Raw genomic sequence first — 14,992 nt, forward strand, 5'->3', positions numbered from 1 at the left:
GAATCTCCTGCCTCAGCCTCCTAAGTGGCTGGGATTACAGGTATGCACCACCACGCCTGGCTAATTTTGTATTTTTAGTAGAGATGGGGGTTTCAACATGTTGGTCAGGCTGGTCTGGAACTCCCGACCTCAGGTGAACCGCCCACCTCGGCCTCCCAAAGTGCTGGGATTACAGGCGTGAGCCACCGTGCCCGACCAACAAAATGTCTTTTTTTTTTTTTTTTTTTTTTTTTTTGAGACGGAGTCTCGCTCTGTCGCCCAGGCCGGACTGCGGACTGCAGTGGCGCAATCTCGGCTCACTGCAAGCTCCGCCTCCCGGGTTCACGCCATTCTCCTGCCTCAGCCTCCCGAGTAGCTGGGACTACAGGCGCCCGCCACCGCGCCCGGCTAATTTTTTGTATTTTTAGTAGAGACGGGGTTTCACCTTGTTAGCCAGGATGGTCTCGATCTCCTGACCTCATGATCCACCTGCCTCGGCCTCCCAAAGTGCTGGGATTACAGGCGTGAGCCACCGCGCCCGGCCCCAAAATGTCTTTTAAGAGGTGGTAAGAAGGTGGCCTGCTCTAACTCCCTGTGTTCATCCCAATCTACAATGGGAAAAGTGATATAGATATAACTTTCCCTTAATAAAAACTGCATCAGCTTTTAAAGAAAGGCACAAAACAACAAAATCAAAGAGAAGAAATCACTAGTTCTAAGTTATGGACTACTAGGTCTAGAAGGGATCCTTAGGGATAATCTAATCCAAAACTAAGTTTTACAGACAAGCAACTAAAGACCAGAGAAGACAACTTGTCCGTGATTACACTATTCTTCTGTGTGGAAAGGGGGCTACAGCACCTGCACCTCTGGATGCTGGCATATTGCCAATACCCTACCCAGCTTCCCCAGTAGACTTTTAGGAAGACAACCACCCAAAAGCCTGCCACCAGACAGCACAACCAGGTAGCATTACCCCAGGACAAAGGACCTCTCCGATCCCAACTCACGTCTTGTGAATGGTCTGGAAGAGCTGCTGGCCCTCTAGAGAGACACCAGCACTGATTGCATAGGCCTGGCTCAGCTTCTCCTCCTTCTCTGTCCGTGCTTTGCTGGCAAGCTAGGGTGGAAGAGAGGAAAGAGACTCAGAATAGGATTCATCTTCATTCTTGCCAACAGTCAGGACCTAAGCTGAAGAAAGGAGGCCAGGAAAGACTTGTTTGGACAGATTCTGTTTTCTCAGAAATGAAAAGTGAAACAAATTTTAAAAATCCACGACATACCTGAACAGTTACTGGTATTCCAAGAAAACGTTCCTTCCTTCCTTCTAATACTTACTGCATACCTACCATGTGCCAGACATTCACTATGCTAGGCTAAATATAGCCTGAAGTGGGTGGGGGAGACAGACTATAAACAAGTAACTGAAATCAAGGTGATTTCAGACAGTGATAAGCACTAGGAAGAAAATAAAGCACTTTTAACATTATAGAGTGTGGCTGGGGGACTATGTGATGGCAAATGATGGTCAGAGATTTAAAAATATATACATTTCCGGCCAGGGGAGGTGGCTCATGCCTGTAATCCCAGCACTTTGGGAGGCCGAGGCAGGTGGATCACGAGGTCAGGAGGTCAAGACCAGCCTGGCCAAGATGGTTAAAACCCTGTTTCTACTAAAAATACAAAAAAAAAAAAAAAATTAGCCAGGCGTGGTGGCGGGCTCCTGTAATCCCAGCTACTTGGGAGGCTGAGGCAGAGAATTGCTTGAACCCAGGAGAAGGCTGCAGGGAGCTGAGATCGCGCCACTGCACTCTAGCCTGGGTGACAGAGCAAGACTCCGTCTCAAAACAAAACAAAACCAAACAAAAAAAAATACATACACATACACACACACACACTTCTAACTGGGTGCATCACTGAGGTAGGGAGTTCGAGACCAGCCTGGCCAACATGGTGAAACCCCGTCTCTACTAAAATTACAAAAATTAGCCGGGCATGGTGGTGCGTGCCTGTAATCCCAGCTACTCAGAAGGCTGAGGCAGCAGAATCACTTGAACACAGCAGGCAGATGTTGCAGTGTGCCGAGATCATGCTACTGTACTCCAGCCTGGGCAAAGAAGTGAGACTCTGTCTCTTTAAAAAAAAAAAAAACAAACACACACACACACACACACACACACACACACACACACACACAAACACACACACACACACAGAATTTCCATTCAAGGCGAAAATTAAGATTTATCAGCTGTTGTGCTAGAGCCTCCAGTTTAAAAATTAATACATACCACACCTTCACAGACCACAATCTGAGACTCTAAAAACTCTTACAGAACATTATCTGTGCTCACATAGGGAGCCAGGACTCAAGTAAATCTAACCATAAACGCTGTCCACCTTTAACTTTAGCTAAAGGCAACCCTGTCCTGCTTTTGAGAAAAACGAAGAGTCTGAATTCTACGTCATGTCTGTTCCTTCACTGCCCTCTGGTGGAACCATCCACAAACTGATCAAAAGAAAATCTAGTAAAATCTGGTAGTCTACTACAATCTCGTAACTTCTACCCTGTCAATCCCTATCACCTCTCCAGCACATTTCTGATCCCTACCCCACACTACTGGTTGCTAGAGATTCCAGAGGTACAAATTTGTTTGAGTGTAAGACAAAACAAATGTGCTAGACAAGGTAGTTAAAACAAATTAAAGGCAAACAATGCATCTTAAAAGTCCAACAAATAATCTGGAGACTCTTCAGACCCATGAACATGAACAGCTGAGTCTAACAATGCTGCAGCACATGTGCAAACACGCGCGAGAACACACAATTTGTCCCCAAACATCAGTTCCTTAAATAAAAAGAGGCACTGGCTGGGCCCAGTGGCTCACGCCTATAATCCCAGTACTTTGTGAGGCCGAGGCAGGCGGATCACCTGAGGTCAGGAGTTTGAGACCAACCTGGCCAACATGGTGAAACCCCGTCTCTACTAAAAATACAAAAATTAGATGGGTGTGGTGGTGTGCACCTGTAATCCCGCCTACTCAGGAGGCTGAGACAGGAGAATCGCTTGAACACGGGAGGCAGAGACTGCAGTGAGCCGAGATTGTACCACTACACTCCAGCCTGGGCGACAGAGCAAGACTCCGTCTCAAAAAAAAAATGGGGGAGCCATACCTACAGCATATTCCAAAAGTACCTTAATGCTTGGAATCTTCAAACATTTATATTCTGCTTTTACAGTGATCCATCAAACCATAAACTAAGCATAGCTTTTTTTCTTGGGATTGAGTTTCACTCTTGTTGCCCAGGCTGGAGTACAATGGCACGATCTCAGCTCACTGCAACCTCCGCCTCCTGGGTTCAAGCGATTCTCCTGTCTCAGCCTCCAGAGTAGCTGGGATTACAGGTGCCCGCCACCACCCCCAGCTAATTTTTTTTTTTTTTTTGAGACGGAGTCTCGCTCTGTCGCCCAGGCTGGAGTGCAGTGGCGCAAGCTCTGCTCACTGCAAGCTCCACCTCCCAGGTTCACGTCATTCTCCTGCCTCAGCCTCCCGAGTAGCTGGGACTACAGGCGCCTGCCACCACGCCCAGCTAATTTTTTTGTAGTTTTTTAGTAGAGATGGGGTTTCACTGTGTTAGCCAGGATGGTCTCGATCTCCTGACCTCGTGATCCACCCACCTGGGCCTCCCAAAGTGCTAGGATTACAGGCGTGAGCTACCACACCTGGCCATTTTTTTGTATTTTTAGTAGAGACAGGATTTCACCATGTTGGCCAGGCCGGTCTTGAACTCCTGAGCTCAGGTGATCCACCCACCTCAGCCTCCCAAAGTGCTGGTATTACAGGCGTGAGCCACCACGCCTGGCTCCAAGCATAGTTTTATAGCAGAGGAAGTAAACCAAGTGTCTAATTCTTTGTTTATAAAATTAAGCACTTTCTCAAGGCTTAGGTTTGACTATGAAAAAAAAGGAGGCCTTCAATTGCCATGGGTATTCTTGTCCTTGCAAGTTTCAAAGACTGTCTTAGGAAGGAGGAGCAGGCGTGAGCACAGAAGGCCAGCTCACGCTGTCATTTCAGCCTCCCCGGGTAAGAGAGGGAAGAATGGCAAAACCCTGCAGTGATCTGAAGCCAGAGCTCCTTTTTCACAGGATCTCTAGGACATGGAGAGAGACAAATACAGCAGCAATATATATATAATCTTTCAAGACTGGCTGCCATTCTGGCCCTACCAGGCTATAACTTTACAGACAAATAAACACACAGGCTGACAGCATTCCAAGCAGTGGCAATCCCAACTGTAACAAGAAAGCCTTGTAGTTTCTATGGAAAGAGCTGCTGATGATGTATTTTAAGCAGCAACAAGCAACGCTTACTCAAGCACCAAAAAAACCCCGGTAACAAGGAGGAGTTTCCTTTTTTTTTTTTTTTTTGAGATGGAGTCTTGCTCTGTGGCCCAGGCTGGTGCAGTGGTGCAATCTCAGCTCACTGCAACCTAAGGAGGAGTTTCCTTGAATCTTGCTTTCCAAACAATGCCTTAAGAAAATCTGAAGTCGGCCAGCGCTGTGGCTCACGCCTGTAATCCCAGCATTTTGGGAGGCTGAGGGAGGAAGATCACTTGAGCCCAGTAGTTACAGACCAGCCTGGGCAACATAGTGGGACCCTGCCTCTATTAAAAAAAAAAAAAAAAATCTGAAGTCTTTAAGGAAAGAAGGAAAAACTGGAGGGTGGCAGAGCTCCTGGGAAGCATCTAGTGGACAGGCGGGCATTTACCTTATAAGCAGGCTGGAAGATCTCACTTTGAAACCTCAATCCCCTTTAAAAACGTTTATTCCTGAAAATCCAAATCATCTCCGAATGCTGGGTCAGAGAAAGCTGCTTCTATAAAGCTTGTGTTGACTAGATAGTCTGAACGTTCAAAGAGTAAAATGTCGTTGTCACCTACATAGCAGCTTAAAAACATAACATCACCCCATTTAGTAAGAGACAAGAGTTGGCTCAGGAAACCAGGCATCTATGCAGAATGTTTAAGAATGGAACTGACAAATTAAGCTAGAGAAGGGGAGAAAAAAAAGCTGGAAGAAGAGCCACTTGAATTTTTGCCAGAGAGAAAATAAAATGGATATAAATCTCAGCCAGAAGTGATTCTTTAGACAGGCTGAGTAACAATGACACACTGGTTATAGAACAATGATTTCAAAATACACCCCCCACCCCCGCCAAAATACCAGTTGTGCAAGTGCAATCTCCCCTAAAGTCTCCAAAAGCAAAGGAGAATGGACTAGACAATTCTCTATTTCAATTCTAATGCAAACATCCCAAATGCTAAATGATGTAAGGGAGCACTTAGAAAAGTCAGCAGAAATGACTGTAAGCTGACTGTATATATTTTCAGTTTGCCCCCAATATACTCAACCTACAGTAATGCTTTAGGGATCCGGACTCAGCTACACAGATCTGCTTTTACCAGGAAGCTGTACAAATGGGATAAAATCTCCTAGAGAGGACCCCATCAATTAGGGGTCCCCATCAATGGGGGAGACCGCTCTCAATAAAAGAAACTAGAAGTGTTTCCTTTTTTCAAAATTGAGGGTGGGGAGAAGGAGATTACCTTGCCCTTTTTTGTCATGAAAACTCATGCAGAACATGAATATGCCTTCTTTTGTAAAGCAAACGATTATCACTCTACCCTCAATTTAGCTGCTGTACAAATCTAAATTTTCCCACATATTTTTGCAAATGACTATATACCTATAAATGGCCCAATTATTCCAAGTTAGTAAGTTTATGGTTTTTGCCAAACCACTGGAGAGAACCAATAAAAGCTGCCCTCAGTAGAGAAAGTGTAGAATGTGCCTTTTAGGCTTGGGAGGGCCACCAAGATTACTTTTTAAAATCTATTTCTTTTTTTTTGAGACAAAGTCTTGCTCTGTCGCCCAGGCTGGAGTGCAGTGGTGCGATCTCAGCTCACTGCAACCTCCGCCTCCCAGGTTCAAGGGATTCTCCTGCCTCAGCCTCCCAAGTAGCTGGGATTACAGGTGCCCACCACCACGCCTGGCTAATTTTTGTATTTTTAGTAGAGACAGGGGTTCACCATGTTGGTCAGGCTGGTCTCGAACTCCTGACCTCGTGATCTGCCCGCCTCAGCCTCCCAAAGTGCTGGGATTACAAGCGTAAGCCACCATGCCTGGCCTTAAATCTATTTCTATAGTTTTTCCTTTACTAGATATTTCATATAAATGGAATGATACAATGTGTTGACTTACGTCTCTGGCTTCTTCCACTTAGCACATTTCTGAGGTTCATCCATTTTGTTTCATGTACCAATAGTTTTTTAAATTGCTAGGAAGCATTCCACTATGAGGATACAGTTCTACCTTTTATATATTCATTCACTAGTTGATGGACAGTTGATCAAAATCTGAATTGTTTCCAGTTTTGTTTTTTGTGTTTTCTGAAACAGAGTCTCACTCTATCACCCAGGCTGGAATGTAATGGCACAATCTCAGCCCACTGCAACCTCCACCCACTGGGCTCAAGCAATCCTCCCACTTCAGCTTCCCAAGTAGCTGGGACCACAGAAGCACACCACCACGCCCAGCTAAGGTGTTGTATTTTTTTGTAGAGACAGGGTTTCACCGTATTGCCCAGGATAGTCTTGAACTCCTGAGCTCAAACGATCCACCCACCTTGGCCTCCTAAGGTGCTGGGATTACAGGCATGAGCCACCCTACCCGGCTGTTTCCAGTTTTTGGCAGCAGTCACACACAAGTCTTTGTGTATGTAAAAGTAAAAATATTTTACTTTTTTTTTTTTTTTTTTGAGACGGAGTCTCGCTCTGTCTCCCAGGTTGGAGTGCAGTGGCGCGATCTTGGCTCACTGCAAGCTCCGCCTCCTGGGTTCACGCCATTCTCCTGCCTCAGCCTCCCGAGTAGCTGGGACTACAGGCGCCCGCCACCACGCCCGGATAATTTTTGTATTTTTAGTAGAGACAGGGTTTCACCCTGTTAGCCAGGATGGTCTTGATCTCCTGACCTCATGATCCGCCCGCCTCGGCCTCCCAAAGTGCTGGGATTACAGGTGTGAGTCACCATGCCCAGCCAACGTTTTACTTTTTAAAAGTAAAAAGATTTTGCTTTTTAAAAGTAAAAAGTCTCTGTGTGTGGACATGTTTTTACTTTTGTTAGGTAGATAACTAAGAGTAGAATTTCTGGGTCATATGGTAAGTGTATGTTTAATTTTTAAAGTAATTGTTTTCCTGCTAGTGAAGTTTCCTTAAAAACAAAACAAAATGGCCGGGTGCAGTGGCTCACGCCTGCAATCCCAGCACTTTGGGAGGCCGAGGCGGATGGATCACGGGGTCAGGAGATCGAGACCATCCTGGCTAACACGGTGAAACCCCGTCTCTACTAAAAATGCAAAAAATCAGCCGGGGATGGTGGCGGGCGCCTGTAGTCCTAGCTACTCGGGAGGCTGAGGCAGGAGAAAGGCGTGAACTCAGGAGGCGGAGCTTGCAGTGAGCTGAGATTAATGCGCCACTGCACTCCAGCCTGGGCAACAGAGCCAGACTCCGTCTCAAAAAAAAAAAAAAAAAAGGAACTGTCAAACTGTTTTCTTTTTTTTTTTCTTTTTTTTTTTTTTTTGCTGGAGTGCAATGGCGCGATCTTGGCTCACTGCAACCTCCGCCTCTGGGGTTCAAGTGATTCTCCTGCCTCAGTCTCCCGAGTAGCTGGGATTACAGGCGCCCGCCACCACGCCTGGCTAATTTTTTGTATTTTTAGTAGAGATGGGGTTTCACTATGTTGGCCAGGCTGGTCTCGAACTCCTGACCTCGTGATCCACCCGCCTCGACCTCCCAAAGTGCTGGGATTACAGGCGTAAGCCACAGCGCCCGGCCCTAATGTTTGATAGTTCTAAATCTGCCACCTACTCACCAACACTGGGTACTGTTAGCCTTTCTGATCTCAGCCATTTTAGCAGAAGTATAGCAGTTTCACACTGTGGTTTTCACTTGTACTTCCCTTTATGTCTAATGATATCAAGCATCTTATGTGCTTATTTGTAATTACTGTATCTTCTCTGATACAGTATTCAAAGCTTTTGCCCATTTTTAATTGGACTGTCTTTTTTTTGAGATGGAGTCTTGCTCTGTCACCCAGACTGGAGTGCAGTGGCACCATCTCAGCTCACCACAACCTCTGCCTCCCAGGTTCAAGCAATTCTCCTGCCTCAGCCTCCAGAGTAGCTAGGACTACAGGCCCACACCACCACGCCCAGCTAATTTTTGTATTTTTAGTAAAGACAGGGTTTCACCACGTTGGCCAGGCTGGTCTCAAACTCCTGACCTCAGGTGATTCACCTGCCTCGGCCTCCCAAAGTGCTGGGATTACAGGCATGAGCCACCATGCCCAGCCTGGATTGTCTTATTATCATTATTATTTTCTTTTTTGAGATAGGTCTTGCTCTGTTGCCCAGGCTGGAGTGTACTGGCATAATCATGGCTCACTGCAGCCTTGACCTCCTTGGCTAAAGCAATCCTCCCACCTCAGCCTCCCAAGCATCTGGAACCACAAGCAAGGACCACTATGCCTGGCAGGTTTGTTTGTTCTGTTTTTTTTTTTTTAATTTTATGTAGCGATGGGGTCTCCCTGTGTTCCCTAGGCTAGTCTCAAACTCCTGATCTCAAATCATCCTCCCACCTCAGCCTCCCAAAGTGCTGGAATTACAAGCATAAACCACCAAGCCCGGGCTGCCTTATTAAGAGTTCTTGGCTGGGCGTGGTCACTCACACCTGTAATCCTAGCACTTTGGGAGGCTGAGGAAGGCCGATCACTTGAGCCAGGGGTTCAAGACCAGTGTGGACAACATAGACAGTGTCCGTATTAAACACACACACACACACACACACACACACACACACACACACACACACGCAAATAAAAAGAGTTCTTTATACATTCTGGACACAAGTGCTCTGTAAGATGTATGTTTTGCAAATTATTTCTCCCAGTCTATGGCTTGTCTTTTCATTTTCTTTATGCAGCAAAACATAGAAAAATTTTTTCCAGGCCAAGAGCAGTGGCTCATGCTTGTAATCCCAGCACTTTGGGAGGCCAAGGCAGGCAGATCACTTGAGCCCAGGAGTTCGAAACCAGCCTGGTCAACATAGCGAAACCCCATCTCTACAAAAATTACAAAAATTAGCCGGGCACAGTAACATGCACCTGTAGTCCCATCTACTTGGGAGGCTGAGGCAGAGGAATTGCTTGAACCCGGGAGGCGGAGGTTTCAGTTAGCCGAGCTTGCACCACTGCACTCTAGCCTGGGTGACAGAGAGAGACTCCATCTCAAAAAAAAAAAAAAAAAAAGTAACCATAAAAATTCAATGACTATCACCCATACTACACCCATTTTCAATGCAAACATGCTAGCTGCTGGCCTCACTACCAATCAGTTAGAAGCACTAACTGGTTAGCATCTCAAAGAATAAAAAGCACCAAGTTTAAGAACACACTGGGTTCAGGCAAACCAAGAAGCATAAACTTACAAATATTTGTTATTAATGTGCATATGGCTTACTTGAAATCACTGCACATGACAATCTGTGCTTACCTGGCTCTCCTTTCATTCTGCATGATTCCCAGTGAAAACACAGTCCTTGTATACTAACCAGTGTTTCCTCCTGTGCCCGTTTTATATATAGCACCTTGATGTGGGCAAAGGAGAAAAGTATATGCATTCGATATCAAAGCACATCAATATTAAAAGGCTTCTAGGCCAGGCACAGTGGCTCATTCCTATAATCCCAGCACTTTGGGAGGCCAAGGCAGGAAGATCACTTGAGGCCAGGAGTTCAGACTAGCCTGGCCAACATTGTGAAACCCTGTCTCTACTGAAAATACAAAAATTAGCACCGGGCATGGTGGTGTGCACCTGTAGTCCCAGCTACTTGGGAGGCTGAGGCAGGACAATCACTTGAACCCGGGAGACGGAGGCTGCAGTGAGCTGAGCTTGTGCCACTGCACTCCAGCCTGTGTGACAGAGACTCTGTCTTTAAAAAACAACAACAACAACAACAAAAACAAAACGAACAAAAAAAACCGGCTTCTAATCATGCCTGATGCTGGGTAACCCTTATTTTTGTTTGTTTGTTTTTGTTTTTAAGAGACAGGGTCTCACTCTTCTGCCCAGGCTGGAGTGCAGTGCCATGATCCTACACAATGCAGTCACAAACTCCTGGGCTCAAGCGATCTTCCCACCTCAGCCTACAGAGTAGCTGAGACTATAGGTGTGCGCCACCACACCCAGCTACTTTTTTTTATTTTTGTAGAGATGGGGTCTTGCTATATTGCCCAGGCTGGCCTTGAACTTCTGGCCTCCAGCAATCCTCCCGCCTCAGCCTCCCAAAGTGCTGGGATTAAATGCATGAGCCACTGCGTCCCACAAGTGAGTGATTTAATGAACACCAAGGACACATATCTTGTCTGCACGCAGTGACATGGAAGGAAAAGGGAGGAGCCAAAAGAACAAAATCCAAGCAATATGCACTTCATCTTGTTATTCAGTCACCAGCTGGGCCATCTTATTTCCACATGCCCAGACCAGGAAGGCACAGGTGCCGTGGGGAATCCAGAGGGATTCCTACTACAAGTATTTAACAGGCTGAGACAGCTGATACAACAAGGGAAACAGAGAAGCCAGAGAGGAGCCTGCTGGGTGTGACCTACTGACTCCAATGAGCCACTCTCAGTTTGCCTTCTCTGTGTATTTGGGTCTTCCAACCAGCTGCCCTCACAGAGGGCTTAGGAAACACTGCAGCTGCTGCCCGGAACTGCTTATGACGCCTGCAAGCCTGGTGGGTGTCAAGGGATGGCAGACCAGAGTGGCAAAGAACTGTCATCGTAAGGGCCCTTGCATGTTCCCTATGTTTTGAATCTGGGGTAGGCTCTTGGAAAGCCTTCATTCTTTTTATTTTTATTTTTTTGAGATGGAGTTTCTCTCTTGTTGCCCAGGCTGGAGTGCAATGGCACGATCTCAGCTCAATGCAACCTCCACCTCCTGGGTTCAAGCGATTCTCCTGCCTCAGCCTCCCAAGTAGCTGGGGTTACAGACATGTGGACACCATGCCCGGCTAATTTTTGTATTTTTTTTTTTTTTAGTAGAGACGGGGTTTTGCCATGTTGACCAGGCTGGTCTCGAACTCCTGACCTCAGGTAATCCACCTGCCTCAGCCTCCCAAAGTGTTGGGGTTACAGGCATGCGCCACCGCACCCAGACAAAGCCTTTATTCTTAGCTAGCAACAAATAGGCTCTCAAAAATATATCTTCTGAATATCAGCATCCCCAGGGCAACTGTTCCCTAGCTGAAAGCTTGTGCCTGAACATTTTTTTTTTTTTTGAGATGGAGTCTCGCTCTGTTGCCCAGGCTGGAGTGCAGTGGCATGATGTAGGCTCACTATAACCTCCACCTCCTGGGTTCAAGTGATTCTCCTGCCTCACTGCCTCAGCCTCCAGAGTAGCTGGTATTACAGGCACGTGCCACCACACCCAGCTAATTTTTGTATTTTGAGAAGAGATGGGGTTTCACCCTGTTGGCCAAGCTGGTCTCGAACCCCTGACCGCAAGTGATCTGCCCGCTTCAGCCTCCCAAAGTGCTGGAATTACAGGCATGAGCCACCGCGCCCAGTGTGCCTGAACATTTCTAATAAAATACTGTTCCTGGACAGGCATGGTAGCTCACAACTGTAACTCCAGCACTTTGGGAGATAGGCGGGTGGATACTTTGAGCTCAGGGGTTTGAGACCAGCCTGGGCAACATGGCAAAACCCTACAAAAAATTTTTTAACAAATTAGCTGGGGGGCTGGACGTAGTGGCTCACGCCTGTAATCCCAACACTTTGGGAGGCTGAGGTGGGCGGATCACGAGGTCAAGAGATTGAGACCATCTTGGCCAACATAGTGAAACCCCCTCTCTACTAAAAATACAAAAATTGGCTGGGAGTGGTGGCTCACACCTGTAATCCCAGCACTTTGGGAGGCAGAGGAGGGCAGATCACAAGATCAGGAGTTCCAGACCAGCCTGGCCAATATGGTAAAACCCCGTCTCTACTAAAAATTAGCCAGGCGTGATGGCGGGCACCTGTAGTCCCAGCTACTGCTGAGGCAGGAGAATCGCTTGAACCTGGGAGGCAGAGGTTGCAGTGAACCAAGATCGTGCCACTGCTCTTTAGCCTGGCGACAGAGCGAGACTCCGTCTCAAAAAAAAAAAAAAAAAAAAAAAAAAATTAGCTGGGTGTGGTGGCGCACTCCTGTGGTCCCAGCTTCTCGGGAGCCTAGCTTGTGCCTGGGGGGAGGAGGTGGCAGTGAGGTGAGATTGCACCACTGCACTTCAACCTAAGTGACAAAGTAAGACCCTATCTCGGGGAGGGGGAAATATATATATATATAGTTCCCTACAAATTGGACAGTTAGGAACTAAAAAAATACAGTACTCTACTTGAAGTTCTGTTCTAGAATACCTAAGAGTAAATAAATAACAATGAATCAAAATATTGAATCAGGCCAGGATTAGTGGCTCATACCTGTAACCCTAACACTTTAGGAGGCCAAGACAGGAGGATGGCTTGAGTCCAGGGGTGCAAGACCAGACTGGGCAACATAGCAAGGCCCCTGACTCTACCAAAAAAAATGTTAGGGCAGGCACAGTGGTTCACGCTTATAATCCCAGCATTTTGAGAGGCCGAGGCGGGTGGATCACTTGAGGTCACGAGTTCAAGACCAGCCTGGCCAACATGGTGAAACCCCATCTCTACTAAAAATACAAACATCCGCTGGGTGTGGTAGCATGTGCCTGTAATCCCAGCTACCTGGGAGGCTGAGGCAGGAGAATTGTTTGAACCGGGGAGGCGGAGGTAGCAATGAGCCAAGATCATGCTACTGCACTCCAGCCTGGGTGACAGCAAGACTCCATCTTAGAAAAAATTTAAAAAGTTTAAATTAGCCAGGCACGGTGGTGCACGCCTGAGCCAAGGAGGTCGAGGCTGCAGTGAGCTATGATCATGTCACTGCATCCCAGTCTGGGCAACAAAGCAAGTCCCTATCTCTAAATTAAAAAAAAAAACAAACAACAAAAAAAAAACCCTGAGCCCAGCCTGGGCAACACAGTGAGACCCTGTTTCTACAAAAAAAAAAATTAAAAAAAATCAGCCAGGTGTGTTGGCATGCACCTGTAGTCTCAGCTACCTGAAAGGCTGAAGTGGGAGGATCGCTTGAGCCCAGGATGTCAAGGCTGCTGCAAGCAGAGCAAGACAACAGAGCAAGAACTTGTCTTTACAAAAACAAACAGGCCGGGTGCGGTGGCTCACACTTGTAATCCCAGAACTTTGGAAGGCTGAGGCAGGCGGATCATGTGAGGTCAGGAGTTCGAAACCAGCCTGCCCAACATGGTGAAACCCCATCTCTACTAAAATTACAAAAATTAGCCGGGCATGGTGGCGGGTACCTGTAATCCCAGCTACTTGGGAGGCTGAGGCAGGAGAATCGCTTGAACCCGGGAGGTGGAGGTTGCAGTGAGCTGAGACCGTGCCATTGAACTCCAGGCTGGGCAACAAGAGCGAAACTCTGTCTTAAAAAAAATATATATTTATATAAATAAATAATCTATTTATATTTTATATAAACGTATATTTTTATATAAATTTACATAATTAATAAATAAATAAATCACCACTCTGGCCTGGATGACAAGAGCAAAACTCTGTCTTAAAAATATAAATAAATAAATAAAGTGTTACATGCTGTCTGAAAAATAAATACTGTTCTTTAATAGTATCTTCCCTCCTTTTTGAGAACTAACAACCTCCAGTTCAGCTCAACAGAAAAGCATCAAGTTCTAAATTGCAGAGGTGGACAAACTGAGCACTCCCAAATCAGCTTGATCCCTTTTCTCTTCCTTCCCTTTCTCTGAATAATTGCCATTTATTTTTCAAGCCCCTCCTCCACTGTCACATCTGAAGTGTCTTCCCTAAAATGCTCACTACTCTATACCAAGGGTTGGCAAACAGCCTCCTGTGGGCCAAATTCAGCCAACCACTTGTCTTAGATAAGTTTCATTGGAAAACAGCCATGCCCATTTGTTTACACATTGTCTAGGGCTGCTGTGCTACAAGAGCAAGGTCGAGTAGATGTGACCAAGACCATATGGCCAATACAGCCTAAAAGATTTACTATCTGGCCCTTTATAGAAAAAGTTTGCTCCTCCCTGCTCTATGCTGTCACGTACCTTGGACATATGACCACTAGTGCAGAGCGGGTCTCACCATATTGTTATCACTAAGTTAAATGCTGCTGTCCCTCACCACTCCCAACAAATGTGAGATTCTGGAGGGCAAGAGGGGTGTTTTAATCATCCTGGCATTTCCCAGCACCTTGAAGGGAGAGAGTGCAAGAGGGAAGACAGAAAAAAGGAGAAACAATGACTATCAGAGATTCAGAGGACCAATCACAAAACAGTTCCCAGAGGTCACACATTCATTAACAGCACAGTTGGAAAAACACTGCTGTTCTTCAAACTCCCTATATCTTACTCCACAGTACTTTTAGCATAATGTGTAGATCCTTTAATTTTCCAGCTTAGGTAGAATTTGCTTCAATCTCCAGGGTAGTTTCTGATATTTACCTGAGCTAGTCTTAAAATTCCATTGCCAGAATTTGACTCTACCACTTGTTTGGTTCCCCTATCCCACCCCAAGCCTGTTCTCTGCCAGAAAAAGTTTTAGTTAGAATACTGTTCTCTTAATACTGGAGGAATTACCACCACTGACCCACCCTAATGTCCTTGTTTTGAACTGTCTCCACGTCAAGGGTAGGGTGCAGAGGTGGCTGCAACAACACACCTATGGCACAACTCTGCCAGACTCACCTGGGCTCAGCAATTTATCTTTTCAGGAGGACAACAATTCTCCTACTCCCCACTTCCATGTCCTATAAGGCCAAGAAGGTCCCCTTGGGAACTAAAC

General features: G+C 46.3%; 1 protein-coding gene across 5 annotated transcripts in view; it reads right to left on the bottom strand.

The window, feature by feature from the left end:
- Positions 1 to 14,992, bottom strand: part of LSM12 (LSM12 homolog) — a 33,260-nt gene that overhangs the window by 4,830 nt on the left and 13,438 nt on the right. For all 5 annotated transcript variants that reach the window (NM_001371445.1, NM_152344.4, NM_001369486.1 and 2 more), the window contains one exon: positions 990 to 1,099. In NM_001371445.1, the coding sequence (NP_001358374.1) occupies positions 990 to 1,099 (110 nt within the window). The remainder of the gene's footprint in view (positions 1 to 989; positions 1,100 to 14,992) is intronic.

Source organism: Homo sapiens, chromosome 17 (genome assembly GCF_000001405.40).
Source record: "Homo sapiens chromosome 17, GRCh38.p14 Primary Assembly".
Lineage (NCBI taxonomy): Eukaryota > Metazoa > Chordata > Mammalia > Primates > Hominidae > Homo > Homo sapiens.